Source organism: Homo sapiens, chromosome 19 (assembly GCF_000001405.40).
Source record: "Homo sapiens chromosome 19, GRCh38.p14 Primary Assembly".
Classification (NCBI taxonomy): Eukaryota; Metazoa; Chordata; class Mammalia; order Primates; family Hominidae; genus Homo; species Homo sapiens.
The window spans coordinates 17,449,922-17,470,820 of NC_000019.10; the positions used below are offsets into that span (position 1 = coordinate 17,449,922).

Consider the following 20,899-nt stretch of genomic DNA (forward strand, 5'->3'; position numbering starts at 1 on the left):
CCCTCTGCTTACTTCCTTCAAGCCTTTGGGTAACCGTTGCTTCCTCTAGGAGGCTAGGGAGAATCCTGGATCCCTTCCCCAACTGGTCCCCCAAATTATTCGCACAGCACTTTAAAAAAATCGAGATGAAACTTACATAACATAAAATTAATCATTTTATTCAGTGGCATTTAGTGTTGTACAATCATTACCTCTGTCTAGCTCCAGAAGATTTTCATCCCCCCAAAAGGAGACCCCATCCCCATTACCAGCCACTCCCCATTCCCCCTCCTCAAGTGGCTCACAACCATTAATCTACTTCTTGTCTCTGTCGATTTGCCTGTTCTGGACACTTCATATCAATGGAGTCATACAAGAGGTGGCATTCTGGCTTCTCTCACTCTGCATGATGTACTCAAGGTTCATCGAGGTTGTAGCATGGATCAGTGCCTCATTCCTTTTTATGGCTGCGTAATATTCCATAGCGTGTCTGGAACACATTGTGTTCATCCGTTCATCCATTGATGGGTATTTGTGTTGTTGGTTCCTTTTGGTGAAGGTGACTAATGCTGCTATAAACATGTGTGCACAGGTATCTTCTTGAGTCACTGCTGTCAATTCTTGTGGGGCGTGGACTCCTAGGAGTGGAGTTGCTGAGTCACATAGTTACTCTATTTTAACTCTTTGTGGAACCCTCAAACTTTTCCACAGCAGCTGCACCGTTTTCCATTTCCACCAGCAATGTCTGAGGTTTTTAAAAATAATTTTCTGCACATCCTCCCCAACACGTGTTTCCTCCTGCCCTCCTCCTCCTCCTCTTCCTTCTCCTCCTCCTCCTCCCTTCCTTCTCCTCCTCCTCCTTTCTTCCTCCTCCTCGTCTCCTCCTCCTCCTTCTTCTTTTTTTTTTTATCAGGGCCTTGCTCTGTCACCCAGGCTGGATTGCAGTGGTGTGATCATAGCTCATTACAGCCTTGACCTCCTGCTCAAGTGATCTTTCTGCCTCAGCCTCTCCCCAAGTAGCTGGGACCACAGGCAAGCATCAGCATGCCTGGCTAATTTTTAAGTTTTTTTTTTTTTTTCATAGAGATGGGGTCTTGTTATGTTGGTCTGGTCTCAAACTCTTTATACCCAAGTGATTCTCTCACCTCAGTCCCCCTAAATGCTGGGATTACAGGAGTGAGCCACCACACCCAGCCTCCTCCTTCCTCATAATAGCCTTTTTTTTTTTTTTTTTTTTTGAGATGAACTCTCACTCTGTTGCCCAGACTGGAGTGCAGTGGTGAGATCTCGGCTCACTGCAACCTCCACCTCCCGGGTTCAAGCGATTCTTGCACCTCAGCTTCCCAAGTAGCAGGATTACAGGTGCCTACCACCACACTCAGCTAATTTTTGTATTTTTAGTAGAAACAGGGTTTCACCATGTTGGCCAGGCTGGTCTCAAACTCCTGCCTCAAGTGATCCTCCCACCTCGGCCTCCCAGAGTGTTGGAATTACAGGTGTGAGCCACCATACCCAGCCAGTTTTTAAAATTTTTTTGTAGAGATGGGGTCTTGCTATGTTGGTCTTGTCTCAAACTTCTTATGCCCAAGTGATCCTCTCACCTCAGCCTCCTGAAGTGCTGGGGGATTACAGAGTGAGCCACCACACCCAGCCTCCTCCTCCCTGATAATAGTCATTCTGATGCTTATAAAGTAATATCTCATTGTGGTTTTTATTTGCATTTCCCTAATAACTAATGATGTTAAGCATCTTTTCATGGGCTTTTTGGCTGTTCATATATCTTCTTTGGAGAAATGTCTATTCAAATCCTTTCTCTATTTTAAATTAATTAATTAATTTTTTTGTAGCGATGGGGTCTTACTATGTTGTCCAGGCTCATCTGGAACTCTTAAGCTCAACTGATCCACCCACTGGGCCTCCCAAAGTGCTGGGATTACAGGCATGAGCCACTGCGCCTGGACTGGAATCAAGTTTTTTTTTCAGGTTTGAAAATTTTGGGGCCCCTTGAAAAGAGTTTGTGGGCCCTGTGCCCTCAGCCTCGTAGGTAAAATGGCCCCAAGGAAGAGTATGGGGTGAGGGTGACCCTTCACTTCCAGGTGGCCTCCTTCTTTGCTGTGTGACTTTGGGCACATCCCTTAACCTCTCTGGGCCTCTTCATATGTAGCAAGAACCTGTTCCTTCTTTCAATTGATTGATCGATTGATTGATTCATTCACTCATTCATCAGGCCTCAGCCCAACACTCATTCTTTCATCATCATCAGTGTTAGGGTGAATTTTCCATGTTTTCCAGGTAAGGAAAAGTCTCACGTTGAGGGCTCAGCAATTCATTTGGATCAGGGCTACAGTTTGCTCTGGGTGGTGGGAATACAGAGATACAAGATATTTTCATGTATTCATTCGACGAACATCAGTGGAGAGCCCATCTACGTGCTGGGCTCTGAGGACCCAGGGGTGACCAAGACAGGCCCAGCTCTCCCTTCTGGTGCTCACAGCCTGGTGGGGGAGGTGGAAACATACATGAAACCCCACAATAAGGGGACACTTACCTAAATGGCCAACATTCATTGCAGTGCTGGCTTAGGTTTTGCCATTATTTGTTGGGGTTGGGGGAACACAGATACCAAGGTCTGGTCCTGCTGTTTGTATGTGGGGTGATTCTCTAGTTTGGGGGTGTCTGGCTTCAACTTGGAAAGTTAACCCTGCAAGCAGGCCCCACACTGCTCTTGGTAGATGGTGAGCTCATCTACCTTGGCCTTTTGCTAAGCTGCCCTTCTCATTCCAGCTCAGACAGGTGGGGAGTGGGGAGGTGGGGATGGGGGGTGAGGCTTGGAGAGTTCCACCATACAGTCCAAGGCACACAGCCTGACAGGGACAGAGAGTGGACTCCCTCAACCTCACTGCCCAGATACGGATGGCTGGTCACTGCATGTTGGCTGGAATAATAGTAACAATGTTGACAGGTTACATCGCCTGTGATTTGTTGGAAAAGGGCAACCTGGTATGATTTACAGATAATTTAAGTGATTTTTATTTTTTTGAGACAGAGTCTCCCTGTGTCGCCCAGGCTGGAGTGCAGGGGTGCAATCTTGGCAGACTGCAACCTCCGCCTCCCAGGTTCAAGTGATTCTCATGCCTCAGCCTCCTGAGTAGCTGGGACTACAGGTGCGTGCCACCACGCCAGCTAATTTATATATATATATATATATATATATATTTTTTTTTTTTTTTTAGTAGAGACGGGGTTTTGTGACAGTGGCCAGGCTGGTCTTGAACTCCTGACCTCAGGTGATCCACTTGCCTCGGCCTCCCAAAGTGTTGGGATTACAGGAGTGAGCCACCACGCCCAGACTCAATGCACCCATTTCACAGATGCGCCACAGCAGTCCAGAGAGGGCTGCTGGAACATGAAGCATCAGGCAGCACCAGGGTCCTGAGCTGGGTCAATTTTCCAACCTGGAGGTTGGAAGTCGAGGTGAGCATGAAATCAGGTGGTCATCCAGTATTCAGGACCCTCTGGCCTCCCAGGCCCCCAGCCTCCTTCTTCCTGTCAGCCAGATTCCCGTGCACCGCAGTCACGCTTGCTAGTTTCCATGGACACGCGTGGACTCCTAGGAAACCTTTTCCGGAGACTGGGCACGAGAGGAGTGATTTGCATCTCATTTGAATGCTAGGCCCTGCCCCGAAAGTGTGCCATCTCGTCCTGCCGCGAGGGGGCGCCAGAGGCCAACCAAGCAGTTCGTGAGCCGAGTGAGCACCTGCTCCTCCTTCTTCACTGACCTGCCTGGGAGAACCTGGCTTTAATTCTAATTTTTCAGAGGAAGGGATTAGTGTTTAGAGAAGGGAGTTGATCTCACGGTCACAAAGCCAGGAGATGGTTCTAGATCGGAGTTTTTGATTTCTGTATTCTGCCGTGTTCCCTGGTAATGCCCCAGTCCACGAGCAACAGAGGGAGACCTGGGAGACTCTTGGCTCCTGCTGGCAGCCCGGGACCCCCAGCCCACGTGGTATCAAATATTGAAATGCATCCGTGTAACATATAAATCTGTTGTTAAAGGATTGTTGTGATTTTGCGCATGAAATATGTGGGCAACTCGGCCGGACGCGATGGCTCACGCCTGTAATCCCAGCACTTTGGGAGGCCGAGGCAGGCAGATCACCTGAGATCGGGAGTTCGAGACCAGCCTGACCAACATGAAGAAACTCCGTCTCTACTAAAAATACAAAAATTAGTCAGGTGTGGTGGTATGCCTGTAATCCCAGCTACTTGGGAGGCTGAGGCAGGAGAATCGCTTCAACCCGGGAGGCAGAGGTTGCGGTGAGCCGAGATCGTGCCATTGCACTCCAGCCTGGGCAACAAGAGCCAAACTCCGTCTCAAAAAAAAAAAAAGGGGGGGGGCAACTCATTTAATGTAGGATGGGCTTGGCGTTTTCAGCACGTTTGTTCTATTTTAGTTTAGATTTTCTCATTTTTGGAGCCATTAATTACTCCCCCTCAGCCAGGTCTCAGAAATATTTATAGAGATCCTTGAAAAGCTCTCCCTACTTTATCTCCTGGCCAGGGAGGCTCAGATGCGCACCTGGAAGACCAGAACAGATCCCTGGGTGTGAGGGGATGTCTCAGAAGAGAGAATCCCCTGCCACTCGCTCCATCCTAGCTCCCACCCTTCCCTGCATGGGGATCAGAACAGACTCCCCAGGTCCTGTCCTGCTTCTCCCTGTGGATCTTATTACACTCCCTCTGCCCTGACCCCTCCTGGGGATGGGCTCAAAACAGACATCACCCCTACCCATCCCCACTTCGCCTCCACCCCTCTTCATCATGGGAGCTCAGAACAGCCCCCCAGCCCCTCCTGCCCCCAGAGGAGTGCTCAGAACCCAGACAGTCCCCTACCTCGTGCTCCCACAGTGAGCTCCGTCCCGCCCTACTCCTGCGCAGATCTCTGACAATCCCCTCCCCTCCCCTCTCCTCGGCTTCCAAGAGGCTCATTACAGATTCCCCTCCCGCGGCCTGCCCACCTGGGGCAGAGGAGGACTCAGAACAGCCTTCCGACTTCCATCCAGCCCTCTCTCTCCGCAGTGGGGGGCAGGCTTTTCATAGACCGGTCACCCCTCCACCAGTCTTCCCCAACTATGGAGTCAGAACAGCCCCCCTCGGCCCCACCCTCCGCCTTGGCAACCCCCCCCCAACCCTCCGCCGGGGCACCCCCACCCCACATCCCTCCCCCACTCCCTCCCAGCTCTCCACCTCCGGAGTGGAGGGGTTCATCACCAAACCCCAACTCCTCCACCCTAGGGGGTCATAACATCCGCCCTTGGCCCTGCCCTCCGCCCTGGCACCCCCACCCCCCCACCCCCATCCCGCTCTCTTACGGGGGCGGGGCGGGGAAGGAGGGTTTCCTTTTGTGTTTTTGGGGACAGGGTCTCCCTCTGTCGCTCAGGTTGGAGTGCAGTGTGCAAGTGGTGCGATCACGGTTCGCTGCAGCCTTGACCTCCCGGACTCAATCCATTCTCCCACCTCAGCCTTCAGGGTAGCTAAGCCACAGGTGCGCGCCACCACACCGGGCTAACTTTTAATTTTCGTAGAGTCAGGGTCTCACTCTCTTGCCCAGGTTGATCTCGAACCTCTGGGCTCAAGCGATCCTCCCGCCTTGGCCTCCCCAAGTGCTGGGATTACAGGCGTGCGGGGGTGGGGTGGGGGTGGAGGTTCATCAACAAACCCCACTCCTCTCCTCCACCCTAGCGGGTCAGAACAGCCCCCCGGCCCCGCCCTCCTCCCCACCCCCTCCCCCGGGGTCGCGCCCGCCTCGCGCCGCCTTTTCCACGCGGTACTTGTGGCGGCGCAGGCACTCGGTGAGGCTCCGTGGCTCCTGGTCCTCCAGGTCCTCTGGCAGCTGGAAGTTGCGGTCCAGCACCTCGGCCGCCTCCTGCCAGTTGGCGAAGCAGGCGGTGCCCAGGCGCTGGATCTCGTCGGCGCCGTCGCGAGTGAGCACGTCCCCGTCCGGCTTGAGCACCACGACCGCCGGCAGGCGCTCCACTGAGAACTGGCGCCCGAGGTCCCTGCGGAGCGGGCAGGTCAGTCTGGACGGATCCACATCCCTGATGCTGAACCAGAGAGCCCCACATCCCTCCTCCCAGTACTTAGGCAGCGCCTTCTGTGTGCACTGCCTCTTGCCGGGCACTGGGTAGGTGCACACGAGGACCGGGACAGGGCCAGACACTTTGGTCCCCGCGCTTTGTCTCCAGCACCCCAGGCATGCTCCAACCTCGGGGCATTTGTGCTGGCTGTGCCCACGTCTGGAGCGCTCTCCTCAGACATTTGCAGGCTAAGACCCTGTAGTATGGAGACCTCACATCGCAAGACACAAGGTCTTACTACATTTATTTGTAGTAAGACCCTGTCTCTACAAATAAATAAATAAATAAATAAATAAATAAATAAAGCAGGGTGTGGTGGTGCGCTCCTGTAGTCCCAGGTACTCAGGAGGCCGAGGTACCTGGGACTTCCCTCGAGAAGTATCCCTTGAGCCCAGGATTTCGAGGCTGCAGTGAGCTATGATTGCACCACTACACTCCAGCCTGGGTGACACAGCCAGATCCTGTCTCGAAAATAGAATAAATAACATTCCAAGGCAGTGTTTTTCTCCAAAGTGCCTTTCAGCACCCAACATCATGTATGGTTTTTAAAATTTCTCCTGCTTGGCCGGCGTGGTGGCTCATGCCTGTAATCTCAGCACTTTGGGAGGCTGAGATAGGCGGATCACCGGAGGCCAGGAGTTCGAGACCAGCCTAGCCAACATGGTTAACAGTTCTTAATTTCAGCCTGCTGCATTCTTCCGTGGCCCTTTTCCAGGCTGCCACAAAGAGAACCCATGATACTTACAAAATCCCATGAGTAGATTGCCAGGTTTAGTAATTAAAAATATAAGACACTCACAGGAGATCGAGACCATCCTGGCTAACACGGTGAAACCCCGTCTCTACTAAAAAATACAAAAAATTAGCCGGGTGTGGTGGCAGGCGCCTGTAGTCCCAGCTACTCGGAGAGGCTGAGGCAGGAGAATGGCGTGAACCCGGAAGGCAGAGCTTGCAGTGAGCCCAGATCACGCCACTGCACTCCAGCCTGGGCGAAGATACTCCATCTCAACAACAACAACAACAACAAACAACATATATATATGACACTCCCTCTCTTAAAAAAAAAAAAAAAATTGGAGGCTGGGTACAGTGGCTCACCCCTGTAATCCCAGCACTTTGGGAGGCCGAGGTGGGAGGATTGCTTGAGCCCAACGGTTTGAGACCAGCTTCAGCAACATAACGAGACCCCATCTCTCTCTATTCTATATATAAATACACTAGTTAAATTTGAATTTCAGATAAACAATGAATAATCTTTTAGTGTAAGTATAGCCAAATGCATGGGACATACTTATACTAAAGAAAGATTATTCATTGTTTATCTCAATTTTTTTTTCTTTTTCTTTTTTTTAGAGACAGAGCCTCCATCTGTCACCCAGGCTAGAGTGCAGTGGCGGGAACACAGATCGTGGTAACTTCAAACTCCTGGGCTCCAGTGATCCTATAGCGTCAGCCTCCTAAGTAGCTGGGACTACAGGCTCGTACCACCACACCTAATTTTTTTTTTTAAGTTTTTGTAAAGATATGGTCTTGCTATGTTGCCCAGGCTGGTTTTGAACTCCTGGCCTCAACTGATCCTTCCATCTCTGCCTCCCAAAGCACTGGGATTACAGGCATGAACCACTGCACCCAGCCTGAAATTTCATTTAACTGGACATCCCGTCTACGGGGGATGTGGAATGGGAACTGCCCAGATAACATACTAGTCTGGGTGAATGTTTTGTTGAGAGGACCCTGTCTCAGAGAAGGTCAGCATTTGTCTGCAGCTGGCGTCTCTGCCCCAGGGAAGGAAGCGTTGCTAGCGTCAGGGAGGAATCTCCTCAGCTGCCGAGGGCAGTGGGCAGGATTCAGTGTCCAAACTCTGATGATGTCCAAATTCTGATGATGACCAGAAACTTCCAACTTGTTGAGTAACAAAAGGCATGACATTGGGAAAATGTCATGAAGTCTGCAACTCACTTTCAAATAATTTAGCACAAACTATACACGTATGCATATACGTGTATATAGACACGTATTTTTATTGTAGACAAAGTGTATATGTGTCTATAGACACGTATTTGTATTGTAGACAAAGTGAATATGGCAAAATGTTAACAATTGCGATGGGTTTCATTGTACACTTCTTTCAACTTTTTGCTATGTTTGAACATTTTTTTTCTTTCTTTCTTTTTCTTTCTTTCTTTTTTTTTTTTTTTTTGTGACATAGTCTCGCTCTGTCGCCCAGGCTGGAGTGCAGTGGCACGATCTCGGGTCACTGCAAGCTCCACCTCCCGGGTTCACACCATTCTCTTGCCTCAGCCTCTCCGAGTAGCTGGGACTACAGGCGCCCGCCACCACGCCCGGCTAATTTATTGTATTTTTAGTAGAGACGGGGTTTCACCCTGGTTTCGATCTCCTGACCTCGTGATCCGCCCGCCTCGGCCTCTCAAAGTGCTAGGATTACAAGCGTGAGCCACTGCACCCAGCCTGAACGTTTTTTTCATAATAAAAAGTCAAGCTATAATACTGTTTCATTGGGCAGCTCCTTTTGTAAATTTTTTTAAAGGATCTTTTTAATTTTTTTTTTTTTTTTTTTTTTTGAGACAGAGTCTTGCTCTGTCGCTCAGCCTGGAGTGCAGTGGTGCGATCTTGGCTCACTGCACCCTCCGCCTCCCGGGTTCAAGCGATTCTCGTGCTTCAGCCTCCTGAGTAGCTGGGACTACAGGTACCCAACACTACGTCTGGCTAATTTTTGTATTTTTAGTAGAGACGGGGTTTCACCATGTTGGCCAGGTTGGTCTTGAACTCCTGACCTCACGTGATCCACCCACCTCGGCCTCCCAAAGTGTGCTGGGATTACAGGCATGAGCCACCGCACCAAGCCACCTTTCATAATTTTTCTTTTTTATAATTTTAGAGATGGGAGTGGTGGTGTCTTGCTGTGTTGCCCAAGCTGGTCTTCAACTCCCAGCCTCAAGCAATCCTCCTGCCTCAGCCTCCAAAAGTGCTGGGATTGCAGGTGTCAGCCACCATGCCTGGCTGGACATCTCCTTATAAAGCTTGAATCCGACTACCTCTCCCTCTGTTCTAATGTCCACCATGGCTCCCTGCTACTCTGAGGATCATGTCTATACTTGTTAAGGTGGCTCTGCACCACAGACCTGTCACATCTAAAGAAGATTATGACAAATGCGTGGGCAGTAACAATAACATTGTAAATTTGATCCTCTCCGGAATTACCTACAGTCTCCCTGAACTGGTTGTTCTTTCTCTGACAGCCTCCAAGCCTTTCTGCTGTGCCCTCTGCCTGGAACCCCTTCCCTTTCCTCATTCTCCATCCTCCTATCTTTCTTCTCATTGGAGTCTCCCTGTAATTTATTTATTTATTACATTTTTTATTTTTTATTTTTATTTTTGAGACAGAGTCTCACTCTGTTGCCCAGGCTGGAGTGCAGTGGCACCATCTCGGATCACTGCAACTTTCGCCTCCTGGATTCAAGCAATTCTCCTGCCTCAGCCTCGCAAGTAGCTGGGACCACAGCTGTGCGCCACCAGGCCTGGCTAATTTTTGTATTTTTAGTAGAGACAGGGTTTTGCCATATTGGTCAGGCTAGTCTCGAACTCCTGACCTCAGGTGATCTGCTCACCTTGGCCTCCCAAAGTGCTAGATTTACAGGTGTGAGCCACCGTACCTGGCCTTACTTTTTTAAGAGACAGGGTCTACCTGTATTGCCCTGGCTGGAGTGCAGTGGTGCGATCATAGCTCACTGCAGCCTCAAACTCTAGGCTCCAGTTATCCTCTTACCATAGCCTCCCAGGTGGCTAGGACTACAGGCATGAGCCACCGTGCCCAGCTAGGGGTCTCTCTTTAAAGCCACTTTTTCGGGGAAGCATCCTCTGACCCCGGAACCTCACCAAGGTTTCCCTCATTGTATTTCCACTTTGTGGCCTAGCTTTGTCCTCTGAGCACTACTGCAATTCGCTATTATATATTTGTTTTTTGATTTTTTAGACAGAGTCTCCCTCTGTCACCCAGGCTGGAGGGCAGTGGCACGATCTTACCTCACTGCAGCATCTGCCTCCCAGTTTCAAACGATTCTCCTGCCTCAGCCTCCCAAGCAGCTGGGATTACAGGCGCCCACCACCACGCCTGGATAATTTTTGTATTTTTAGTAGAGACAGGGTTTCACTATGTTGACCAGGCTTGTCTCAAACTCCCGACCTCAGGTGATCTGCCCACCTCGGCCTGCCAAAGTCCTGGGATTACAGGGTTAAGCCACCATGCCCGGCCTTGCTATTACATAGTTGATTCTGTCTTTTGCATCTGTTCCTCTCACTCGGCTCTAAGCTCCCTGGGGTGGCATGGAAGCCAGCATGTGGAAGTGGGCACCCCTGTCTGTACCCCCTAGTTCCCAGTATATGGACTGGCACACAGGGGCTGCTCATTCACTCTAGTTAGAATGGATGCTTCACTTTCAGCGAACATGCCCCCTCCTCCAGGAAGCCCTCCCTGCCCCTCCTCACCTCCTCAGATCATCCTCAAAGGGCAGGAAAAGCCATTTCTTTGGCATGTCCTTGAGGAACAGGTCCTGCTGCTCCTCCGTGGAGTCCTGGGACACGTACACCAGGGCCAGCTGAGCCGCCCGCAGTACATAGAACTCATCTGTGAGCCGCACGAAGAAGTCCTTGAGGATGGGCACGAAGGCCTGGCACTGTGGACAAGCCCCAGCACCAAAGAACAGCAGCACCAGCCGGTTCTCCAGCCTGCGACTGACCTCAGCCTCCGTATCCAGCTCGTCCTGGTCGCTATTGTTGCGGATCAGGATGCGGCCAGAGAACAGGGAGGCCATGGTAACCTGGGTTGGGTGCTGGGGACAGCGCGGCGTGTGGTCCCCGGTCTGCTGACTGGCTCCTCTCCCAGAAATAGAAATCTTTAGAAAACCAGCTTAGGACTTCACTAATCTGCCTAAACCTTGACCTGAGGGGCCTCTAAGGGCGGGGGGCAGGGCTCTCTGTGTGGCCCTTCTCAGGAGAGAGCCGCAAACGCATTAAGAAAACACGTAACAGATGGGCACGGTGGCTCACGCCTGTGATCCCAGCACTTTGAGAGGCAGAGGTGGGAGGATCATCTGAGGTCAGGAGTTTGAGACCAGCCTGGCCAACATGGTGAAACCCTGTCTGTACTAAAAAATAAAAAAATTAGCCAGGCGTGGTGGTGGGCACCTGTAATCCCAGCTACTTGGGCAGCCGAGGCAGGAGAATCGCTTGAAGCCAGGAGGCGGAGGTTGCAGTGAGCTGAGATTGTGCCACTGCACTCCAGCCTGGGCGACAGAGCGAGACTCCATCTCAGAAAAAAAAAGAAAGAAAGAAAGAAAAAAAACCAAAAAACCATGTAGCAGACAGTGACTCACGCCTGTAATCTCAGCACTTTGGGAGGCTGAGGCAGGAGGATCACCTGAGACCAGGAGTTTGAGAGCAGCTTGGGCAACAGTGTGAGACCCCATCTCTATGAAAAAATTAAAAACTTAGCTGGGCATGGTGTTGTCATGAGCCTGTAGTCCCAGCTACTCAGCTGAGATGGAAGGATCACTTGAGCCTGGGAGGTTGAGGCTACAATGACTGCACTACTGCACTCCATCCTGGGTGACAGAGCAAGACCTAGTGTCTAAAAATAAAAAATAGGCTGGGCACGGTGGCTCACGCCTGTAATCCCAAAGCTTTGGGAGGTCAAGGTGGGTGGATCACCTGAAGTCAGGAGTTCGAGACCAGTCTGGCCAACATGGAGAAACCCCATCTCTACTAAAAATGCAAAAATTGGCCAGGTGTGGTGGCTCACGCCTGTAATCCCAGCACTTTGGGAGGCTGAGGCAGGTGGATCACAAGGTCAGGAGATCGAGACCATCCTGACTAACACAGTGAAACCCCGTCTCTACTAAAAGTACAAAAAAAATTAGCCGGGTGTGGTGGCGGGCACCTGTAGTCCCAGCTACTCGGGAGGCTGAGGCAGGAGAATGGCGTGAACCCGGGAGGTGGAGCTTGCAGTGAGCCGAGACCGCGCCACTGCACTCCAGCCTGGGTGACAGAGTGAGATTCCGTCTCAAAAAAAAAAAAAAAGCAAAAATTAGACCGGGTGTGGTGGCTCATGCCTGTAATCCCAGCGCTTTGGGAGGCTGAGGCAGGCGGATCACCTGAGGTCAGGAGTTCGAAACCAGCCTGGCCAACATGGTGAAACCCCATCTCTACTGAAAATACAAAAATTAGCGGCTCGTGATGGCACATGCCTGTAATCCCAGCTACTCGGGAGGCTAAGGCAGGAGAACTGCTTGAGCCTGGGAGGCAGAGGTTGCAGTGAGCTGAGATTGCACCACTGCACTCCATCCAGCCTGGGCAACAGAGCGAGACTACATCTCAAAAAAAAAAAAGCAAAAATTAGCCAGGCGTGGTGGTGCATGCCTGTAATCCCAGCTACTTGGGAGGCTGAGGGAGGAGAATTGCTTGAACCCAAGAGGCGGAGGCTGCAGTGAGACAAGATTGTCCCACTGCACTCCAACCTGGGGGATAGAGTGAGACTCTGTCTCCAAAATAAAAATAAAAAAATTTAATATCTGACTTTTTTGTATGTATATTTTTTGAGACTGGGTCTCACTCTGTCAAGGTGCCCAGGCTGGAGTGCAGTGGTGTGATCATGGCTCACTGCAGCCTTGACCTCCAGGGCTCGGGCGATCCTTCTATTTCAGCGTCCCTGTTAGCTGGCACTAGAGTTCTGTGCCACCACGTCTGGCTAATTTTTTGTATTTTTAGTAGAGATGAGGTTTTGCCATGTTGCCCAGGCTGGCCTCCAAGTCCTGGGCTCAAGCAATCCTCCAGCCTCGGCCTCCCAAAGTGCTGGGATTACAGGCATGAGCATGCAACTGGCCACACCTTTTCATAAATATATTAAATCACATTGATTCACATGGACTCTACTAGTTACTTCAAGGTCTAAGTCAGGGTGAGCATCTGTGATATTTTAGGGTGTCTCCTATGATCAGGATGTGATATGAAATTATCTTTGATTTCCACAGGGGACAAAGTTCCAGGGCTAGCCAATGTCTGCATTCACAGTGAGAGGACCTGATGAATTCCAGTTAGAGGCTAATGAAATGGGCCGGGCACAGTGGCTCACACCTGTAATCCCAGCAATTTGGGAGGCCGAGGCGGGAGGATCACCTAAAGTCAGGAGTTCAAGACCAGCCTGGCCAACATATAATGAAACCACATCTCCACTAAAAAAATACAAAAATTAGCTGGGTGTGGTAGCGCACTCCTGTAATCCTAGGTACTCAGGAGGCTGAGGCAGGAGAATCGCTTAAACCCGGGAGGCAGAGGTTGCAGTGAGCTGAGATCACGCCACTGCACTCCAGCCTGGGTTACAGAGTCAGACTCTGTCTCTAAAAAAACAAAACAAAACAAAATGGGGGGACTGGGCGCGGTGGCTCATGCCTGTAATCCCAGCACTTTGGGAGGCCAAGGCAGGCGCATCACGAGGTCAGGAGATCGAGACCATCCTGGCTAACATGGTGAAACCCTGTCTCTACTAAAAATACAAAAAAAAAATAGCCGGGCATGGTGGCGGGCACCTGTAGTCCCAGCTACTGGGGAGGCTGAGGCAGGAGAATGGCATGAACCCGGGAAGCGGAGCTTGCAGTGAGCCAAGATCGCGCCTCTGTACTCCAGGCTGGGCGACAGAGTGAGACTCCATCTCAAATGAAAGGAAGAAGAAGAAGAAGAAGAAGAAGAAGGAGAAGGAGAAGGAGAAGGAGAAGGAGAAGGAGAAGGAGAAGGAGAAGGAGAAGGAGAAGGAGAAGGAGAAGGAGAAGGAGAAGGAGAAGGAGAAGGAGAAGGAGAAGGAGAAGAAGAAGAAAAGAAGAAGAAGAAAAGAAGAAGAAGAAGAAGAAGAAAGAAGAAGAAGAAAATGTATTTTTTTTTCTCCATCCTCCTGAATTCTGTCTGGACCACCCACACCTTAAGATTGTAGATGTGTAGGTGTAGAAGGCTGAAAGTCATGGATATTATATTTTGCATCTCCAACTCCAACCCTGTCAAAGGGTAGAGACTAGTTCTGCCCCCCCTTGAATCCAGGTAGGTTTCATGACTTGCTTTGACGTATCAAATGTGGTGGAATGGGCTAAGCGCGGTGGTTCAGCCTGTAATCCCAGCACTTTTGCAGGCTGAGGCAGGCGGATCACTTGAGGTCAGGAGTTCGAGACCAGCCTAGACAACAATGGTGAAACCCTGTCTCTACTAAAAATACAAAAATTAGCTGGGCATGGTGGCAGGTGCCTGTAATCCCAGCTACTCAGGAGGCTGAGGTGGGAGAATTGCTTGAATTCGGGAGGCGGAGATTGCAGTGAGCTGCGATCGTGCCATTGCACTCCAGCCTGGGAGACAGAGCACGACTCCGTCTCAAAAATAAATAAATAAAATAGAATGTGGTGAAATGTGTGAGTTTCAAAGATGTCTTCATTTTATTTTATTTTTCAGAGACGGGGTCTCAATCTATCATTCAGGCTGAAGTTCAGTGGTACAATCATAGCTTACTGTAGTCTTGACCTCCTGGACTCATGGGATCCTCCTGCCTCAGCCTCCTGAGTAGATGGGACTACAGGTGCATGCCAGCATGCCCGTCTAGTTTTAAATTTTTTTGTAGAGGTCGGGTCTCACTCTTTTGCCCATGCTGATCTGGAACTCCTGGTCTTAAGCGATACTCCCGCCTTAGCCTCTCAAAGTGCTGGGATTACAGCTGTAATGTGCCTGGCCTGAAGAGTATCTTTAGTTTCCTTCTGCCTCTCATTTTACTCTTGAAACTCTATTGGGACCCCATGTAAGAAAGCTGATCTAGGCAGGGCAAATTTGCTCATACCTGTAATCCCAGCACTTTGGGAAGCTGAGGCGATCAGATCTCTTGATCCCAGGAGTTCAAGAGTAGCCTGGGCAACATAGCAAAACCCCCTCTACAAAAAAATACAAAAATTATCTGGGCATGGTGGTGCACCTGTAGTCCCAGCTACTTGAGGGTGCTGAGGCTGGAGGATGACTTGAGCCTGGGAGGTCAGGGATGCCGGGAACTGAGATGATGCCTCTGTACTCCAGCCCCCAGGCAATAGAGTGAGACCCTGTCTAAATAAATAAATAAATAAATAAATGCAAGCAGATCTAGGTATGGCACAGTGGCTCATGCTCATGCTTGTAATCGCAGCAATTTGGCAGGCCAAGGCAGGAAGATAGCTTGACCCCAGGAGTTCAAGACCAGCCTAGGCAATGTGGCAAAACCCTGTCTCTACAAAAATTAGCCAGGTGTGGTGGCACACGCCTGTGGTTCCAGGTACTCGAGAGGCTGGGGTGGGAGCCTCTCCCTCCTGAGCCCAGGAGGTCAAGGCTGCAGTGAGCTGGGATCGTGCCACTGCACTCCAACCTTGGCCACAGACTGAGACCCTGTCTCAACAATAAAAAGGAAACAAGGGGCGGGGCGCGGTAGCTCATGCCTGTAATCCCAGCACTTTGGGAGGCCAAGGCAGGTGGATCATGAGGTCAAGAGATCAAGACCATCCTGGCCAACATGGTGAAACCCTGTCTCTACTAAAAATACAAAAATTAGCTGGGCATGGTGGCACATGCCTGTAGTCCCAGCTACTTGGGAGGCTGAGGCAGGAGAATCGCTTGAACCCGGCAGGAGGAGGTTGCAATGAGCCAAGATCACGCCACTGCACTCCAGCCTGGCGACAGAGTGAGACTCTGTCTCAAAAAAAAAGAAAAAGAAAGAAAGAAAAGAAAGAAAGAGAAGGAAGGAAGGAGGGAAGGAAGATAGAAAGACAAAAGAAAGAAAGAGAGAGAGAGAAAGAAAGAAAGAAAGAAAGAAAGAAGCTCTAGTCCAGGGCTCTGTGCCTCTTGTCTGTAGAGGACTAGGAGGTAAACACTTTCATCTTTGAAGTCCATGTGGCCTCTGTTGAGAACCATAGCTCTCATCTTTCCTCCTTCTGTAGTGGGTTGAACTACAGGCTCCCCACAAAAAGATATATCCATGCCTTCGCCCCCGGAACCTGTTAATGGGACCTTGTTTGGAAGGAGTCTTTGCAGGTGTTACTTAGTTAAGGATCTTGAGATGACATCATCCTGGATTATCTGAGTGGGCCCTAAATCCAATGACTGATGTTGTAAACGGGAGCGTGACCGCTGAAGCACAGCATCACAGGGGCACGTTTAGGCCTCTGGATGGCTGCGGGCGGGCCTGACTAATGTCAGGCCTTCCACAAGAGGTGGTGGAGCAGAGTCTTCTCTAACTCCCCTGGGGAAAGGGAGACTCCCTTTCCAGGTCGGCTAAGTAATGGGTGCCTTCCCAGGCGCTGGCGTTACCGCTAGACCAGGGAGCCCTCTAGTGGCCCTGTTCGGGCATGACAGAGGGCTCACACTTGTCTTCTGGTGACTTCTCACTGTGTCCCTTCAGCTCCTACCTCTGTATGGCCTGGTTTTTCCTAGGTTATAATTGTAGAACAGAGATTATTTTAATATTGGAATAAAGAGTAATGCTACAAACTAACGAATGATTAATAATATTCATATATAATCATATCTATATTCTATTTCTTGTATAACTATTCTTATTCTATATATTTTGTTTATTATACTGGAACAGTTTGTGCCCTCGGTCTCTTGCCTCGGCACCTGGGTGGCTTGCCGCCCACAGAGGTGATCAGTCCAAGACTACCTGGCTAGAAACGAGCAGAGAGCAGTTTGGCCCGGAAGCCTGAGTTTTACTCCCTGGTCCACATCTCAGTTTCCTGGGGATAGGACAGTCCCCAATCCCTCATCTGAAATCCCTGGGGACAGCTGTGTTTGTGAATTGGGAGATTTTGTATTTTAGGAAAACAACTGGGGGCAGAGGCTGCTGTATACCCGTGCTGTTTTAGGGGGCTCAGAAAATAATACCCAGGCCGGGCTCAGTGGCTCATGCCTGTAATCCCAGCACTTTGGGAGGCCGAGGTGGGGGATCACTTGAGGTCAGGAGTTTGAGACCAGCCTGGCCAACATGGCAAAACCCCATCTCTACTAAAAATACAAAAATTAGCCAGGCACGGTTGTGTGCATCTGTAATCCCAGCTACTCGGGAGGCTGAGGCAGGAGAATCTCTTGAACCCGGGAGGCAAAAGTCGCAGTGAGCTGAGATTGGGCAACTGCACTCCAGCCTGGGTGACAGAGCAAGACTCCGACTGAAAAAAAGAAAGAGAGAGAGAAAGAGAGAGAGAGAGAGAGAGAGAGAGAGAGAGAGAGAGAGAGACAGACAGACAGACAGAAAGAAAGAAAGAAAGAAAAAAAACACCCCAAAATGAAGATCTCAGAAGCAAAAGTTTTTCTCTGACCTTCTCCTGCCCTCTTGTGTCTCAGATCTATTCTCCCCCAAGGCTGGCCATAAAAACTAGAATCCCTCTTTCCCAAGGTAGGTTTTAGAAACTAGAACTCTTGGCTGGGTGTGGTGCCTCACGTCTGTAATCCCAGCACTTTGGGAGGCCAAGGCAGGCGGATCGCTTGAGATCAGAAGTTCGTGACCAGCCTGGTCAACATGGTGAAACCCTGTCTCTACCAAAAATACATAATTAGCTAGGCTTGGTGGCATGCGCCTGTAATCCCAGCTCCTGGGGAGGCTGAGGCAGGAATCGCGTGGACCCAGGAGGCGGAGGTTGCAGTGAGCCAAGATTGAGACATTGCACTCCAGCCTGTGTGACAGAGTAAGATTCCATCTCAAAACAAACAAACAAACTGGTAAGATGGAGGGGGAAAAGGGAGGATAGGAAAAAAGGAAGGGGGGAAGAGAGGAGGAGGGCAGGGAGGAGGAGAGAAAAGGGCAGAAAGGAGAGAAGGAGGGAGAAAGAGAGAAGGAGGAAGTGGGGTAAGAGAAGAGAGAATCAGAGCACAAGAAAGGTGGAGGGGAAGTTTAGAGAAGAAAAAGGAGGAGGAGGGGTAAGAAGAGAGGAAGGAGGAGGGAAAGGAGGAGAGGAGGGGAGGAGGGACAGGGAACACTCAGCTGACATTTATGAATGAATGAATCTCAATTCCAAGTAAGCATGACAGCTCCAGTCCTCAGTTTCTTTCTTCCTTCTTTCTTTGTTTCTTTCTTTTCTTTCTTTCTTTCTCTCTTCTATTTTTTTTTTTTTAAGACAGGGTCTTGCTTTGTCACCCAGGCTGGAGTATAGTGACGCGATCTCGGCTCACTGGATCCTCTGCCTTCCGGGTTCAAGTGATTCTGCTCCCTCAGCCTCCGGAGTAGCTGGGATTACAGGTGTGCTCCACCATGCCTGACTAATTTTTGTATTTTTAGTAGAGACGGGGTTTCGTCATGTTGGTCAGGCTGGTTTCGAACTTCTGGCCTCAAGTGATCCACCCAACTCGGCCTCCCAAAATGCTGGGATTACAGGCGTGAGTCACCACGCCCAGCCTGCCCTCAGTTTCTTTACCTGTCAAATGGGGTGATCACAGCGGTGCTACCTGGCTAGGTAAGAGTGCAACTGCAGTTACTGGTCATTGCTGACTCTTCCAGGCCCAGAAAGCAGCAGGCCAGTGGCTGGCTCTGGGCCTGTCCTCCGGATCTTCCTCGTGATCCCTCATTCCAGCCACCCTGCTGCCCGCAGGGACCAATGGCAGCGTAGGGGGTGAGTGCCTGCCCAGCCCTGTCCTCCAAATGCATTGGAATCAGGCCCGGGCCGCCTCCTAAGGAGAACGCTGGAAAGGTCGGCCAAGGAGAGCAGAAAACAAGCAGTGGTGGAGTCGGCAGTGGGGCAGAGGAGGGGGAGCTGGAAGGGAAGGACCCCAAAGCAGAAGCCCGCACAGTAGGCACAGCGCACCCAAGAAGGGTCCAGGAGTCTGCAGAAACAGAAAGGTCCCCGGCCTCAGCCTCCTAGTCCCTGCCTGCCTCCTGCCTGAGCTTCTGGGAGACTGAAGGCACGGCTTGCAGCTTCAGGTCAGCCAGAGAATGGGGTTGTGCGTGCCCCCAGGCCAGCGCTGGCAGCGCCTGGGGGAGCATCTAGGACCCCGGGGTGCAAGTAAAGGGCCTGTAGGTGCTTCTAGGAAGGATGGGGACCTGGCGTGTGGATTTTGTCCTCCCTGGGATCCTGGGGTGTGACGGTGAGACTTAACCGACAAGGCTTCGGGACATGGATTAAGAATTAGCTGTGTCCTTGAATCACACGTGTTAAGACCGCGGCGGTGTTTACAGTTAGAGACTTCTGAGGCCCCAATGGTGTGAGTTGAGCACTCCCCCGGGCCCTGGAACGTGTTTTTAAGACCGAAAGAGGCTTTGGGGCTTGGATTTAGGACAAGCTGGAGCAAGAATACAGCCCGCGCGGGCCGTGGGTGTGGACTGGGATATTTTTGGTCCCCCGGGGTAGAGATCCTGCACGCCAACTAGGGCTCGGGTCCTGATATCTTGCGAGCCACGCCCCAAGGCTGCAGGACACGTGTGTTTCCTAAAAGGAGAGGGGGTGGGGCAAGGCTTGGTTGTCATGGAGACAGCGGACGACCCTGGCGGGCCGTTCTAGCACCCATGTCTCTTTGGCCGTCGCCTCTCCGGTCCGGTTGCCTCTCTATGGTCGTGGCTTCTGGAAGACGGCCGGCCTCGGCTCTGCGGGCTGAGGGGCTTCGAAGTAGACAGGAGGGAAGAGGGGCGGGGCCTAGGTCCTAGGGGGGCCGGAGTGAAACCCAGGAGGTGGCGACCGAGCCAAAGCCTGAGGGCGGGGCCCGTGGCCAGGATAGAACCTGAGCCTGGGAACTTGGGCTAGGCCCGGAACTGGGGTGGGGCTTGAACGGATTGGGGAGGGCTCTAGTTTCGGGAGGGTGGGGCGTGTGCTTATTGCGGGGGGGTGGGGAGGCATATGTCTAACCTAGGGGGTGGGGCCTGGCTGAGAGGGGCGGGACTCGGGGAGAGGGCTTGTACCTGTGGGCTGGGCTAGAAGCATAACCTAAGGGCGGGGCCCAGTGAGTGGTGAAAAGGCCACGGGGTAGAGGCAGGACCAGGAGGAAAGGGGACAGGACGTGAAGGGTAATTCGGGGATCGAGGATAGAGGCTAGATGAAGGCATGTGGCGAGGCCTGACAGTGACCGACAAGGTGGACATGCTGGCTCTGGGGGCGGGGACTGTTGTAAGATTGGCAGGGAAGGATGGGCTCAAAAATATGGAATAGAGCGGACCCAGGGTCCGGGGGCGGAGCCTGGCCAGGACCTGGCCAATCCCAGGCCTGGGGCCCTGGTCTGGTTCCTAGTTAGCGGGCGGGTGTAAAAGCCTGGAAAGGGGCGATGCCTGGCCTGAGGAGTTGACCAATCCCAGGCCTGGGGGCGGAGTCTGACTCGGAGCGCGTTCCCGGACTCGCGGGGGGCGCAGAGCCGAGGCCTGGGGGCGCGGCTCGCTGTAGAGGCGGGGGCGGTCGTGGGGCGGAGCGGGTCGTGGGGCGGGGCTGGAGCGGCCCGCGGCCTCAGCTCTCTCTGCTTCCCCAGGATGCGGGCTCCGGGTGCGGGCGCGGCCTCGGTGGTCTCGCTGGCGCTGTTGTGGCTGCTGGGGCTGCCGTGGACCTGGAGCGCGGCAGCGGCGCTCGGCGTGTACGTGGGCAGCGGCGGCTGGCGCTTCCTGCGCATCGTCTGCAAGACCGCGAGGCGAGACCTCTTGTGAGTGTTGCCGGGATCCGTCCAGGGCTGGGGGCGGGGCTGAGGGCTCTGGGGGCGCACGGTGCAGGGCTGGGTTGCGGGGACGGCTTGGAGGGTCCGGAGAGCTGAGGGTG

General features: G+C 51.8%; 2 protein-coding genes across 9 annotated transcripts in view, besides 4 other annotated features; one reads left to right on the forward strand and one right to left on the reverse strand.

Moving 5' to 3' along the window:
• Window positions 1-5,503: 5,503 nt before the first annotated feature.
• Window positions 5,504-11,005, reverse strand: NXNL1 (nucleoredoxin like 1). The gene is made up of 2 exons (NM_138454.2): window positions 10,623-11,005; window positions 5,504-6,038 (listed from the first exon to the last, which is right to left on the reverse strand). The coding sequence occupies exons 1-2, from the start codon at window positions 10,946-10,948 to the stop codon at window positions 5,726-5,728; spliced, it is 639 nt and encodes a 212-aa protein (NP_612463.1). The 5' UTR covers window positions 10,949-11,005; the 3' UTR covers window positions 5,504-5,725.
• Window positions 10,911-11,411: an enhancer, noted in NCBI's record as "H3K4me1 hESC enhancer chr19:17571641-17572141 (GRCh37/hg19 assembly coordinates)". NCBI's record gives its function as "activates a minimal SCP1, AML or CMV promoter by ChIP-STARR-seq in naive H9 embryonic stem cells {active_cell/tissue: H9 hESC(naive)}" and the evidence as "EXISTENCE:reporter gene assay evidence [ECO:0000049][PMID:30033119]".
• Window positions 16,567-16,616: an enhancer, noted in NCBI's record as "active region_14273". NCBI's record gives its function as "activates an Ori minimal core promoter by ATAC-STARR-seq in GM12878 lymphoblastoid cells {active_cell/tissue: GM12878}" and the evidence as "EXISTENCE:reporter gene assay evidence [ECO:0000049][PMID:35858748]".
• SLC27A1 (solute carrier family 27 member 1) overlaps window positions 18,846-20,899 on the forward strand; it is a 37,402-nt gene continuing 35,348 nt past the window's right edge. For 3 of the 8 annotated variants that reach the window (NM_198580.3, XM_047438791.1, XM_047438792.1), the window contains exon 1: window positions 20,603-20,786. In NM_198580.3, the coding sequence (NP_940982.1) occupies window positions 20,620-20,786 (167 nt within the window). In that variant the 5' untranslated portion in view covers window positions 20,603-20,619. Of the gene's footprint in view, window positions 19,090-19,675; window positions 19,772-20,059; window positions 20,234-20,602; window positions 20,787-20,899 lie in introns of those variants that run through there. The other 5 variants (XM_011528000.2, XM_011528003.3, XM_011528002.3 and 2 more) reach the window with 3 other exon arrangements.
• Window positions 19,668-19,797: an enhancer, noted in NCBI's record as "active region_14274". NCBI's record gives its function as "activates an Ori minimal core promoter by ATAC-STARR-seq in GM12878 lymphoblastoid cells {active_cell/tissue: GM12878}" and the evidence as "EXISTENCE:reporter gene assay evidence [ECO:0000049][PMID:35858748]".
• Window positions 20,548-20,677: a silencer, noted in NCBI's record as "silent region_10347". NCBI's record gives its function as "represses an Ori minimal core promoter by ATAC-STARR-seq in GM12878 lymphoblastoid cells {active_cell/tissue: GM12878}" and the evidence as "EXISTENCE:reporter gene assay evidence [ECO:0000049][PMID:35858748]".

Coding starts and splice junctions, on each gene's coding strand:
- NXNL1 (NM_138454.2), bottom strand. CDS start 10,948: ATGGCCTCCCTGTTCTCTGGCCGCATCCTGATCCGCAACAATAGCGAC. Junction 6,039..10,622: donor TTTGAGGATGATCTGAGGAG/GTGAGGAGGGGC, acceptor CCCGCTCCGCAG/GGACCTCGGGCGCCAGTTCT.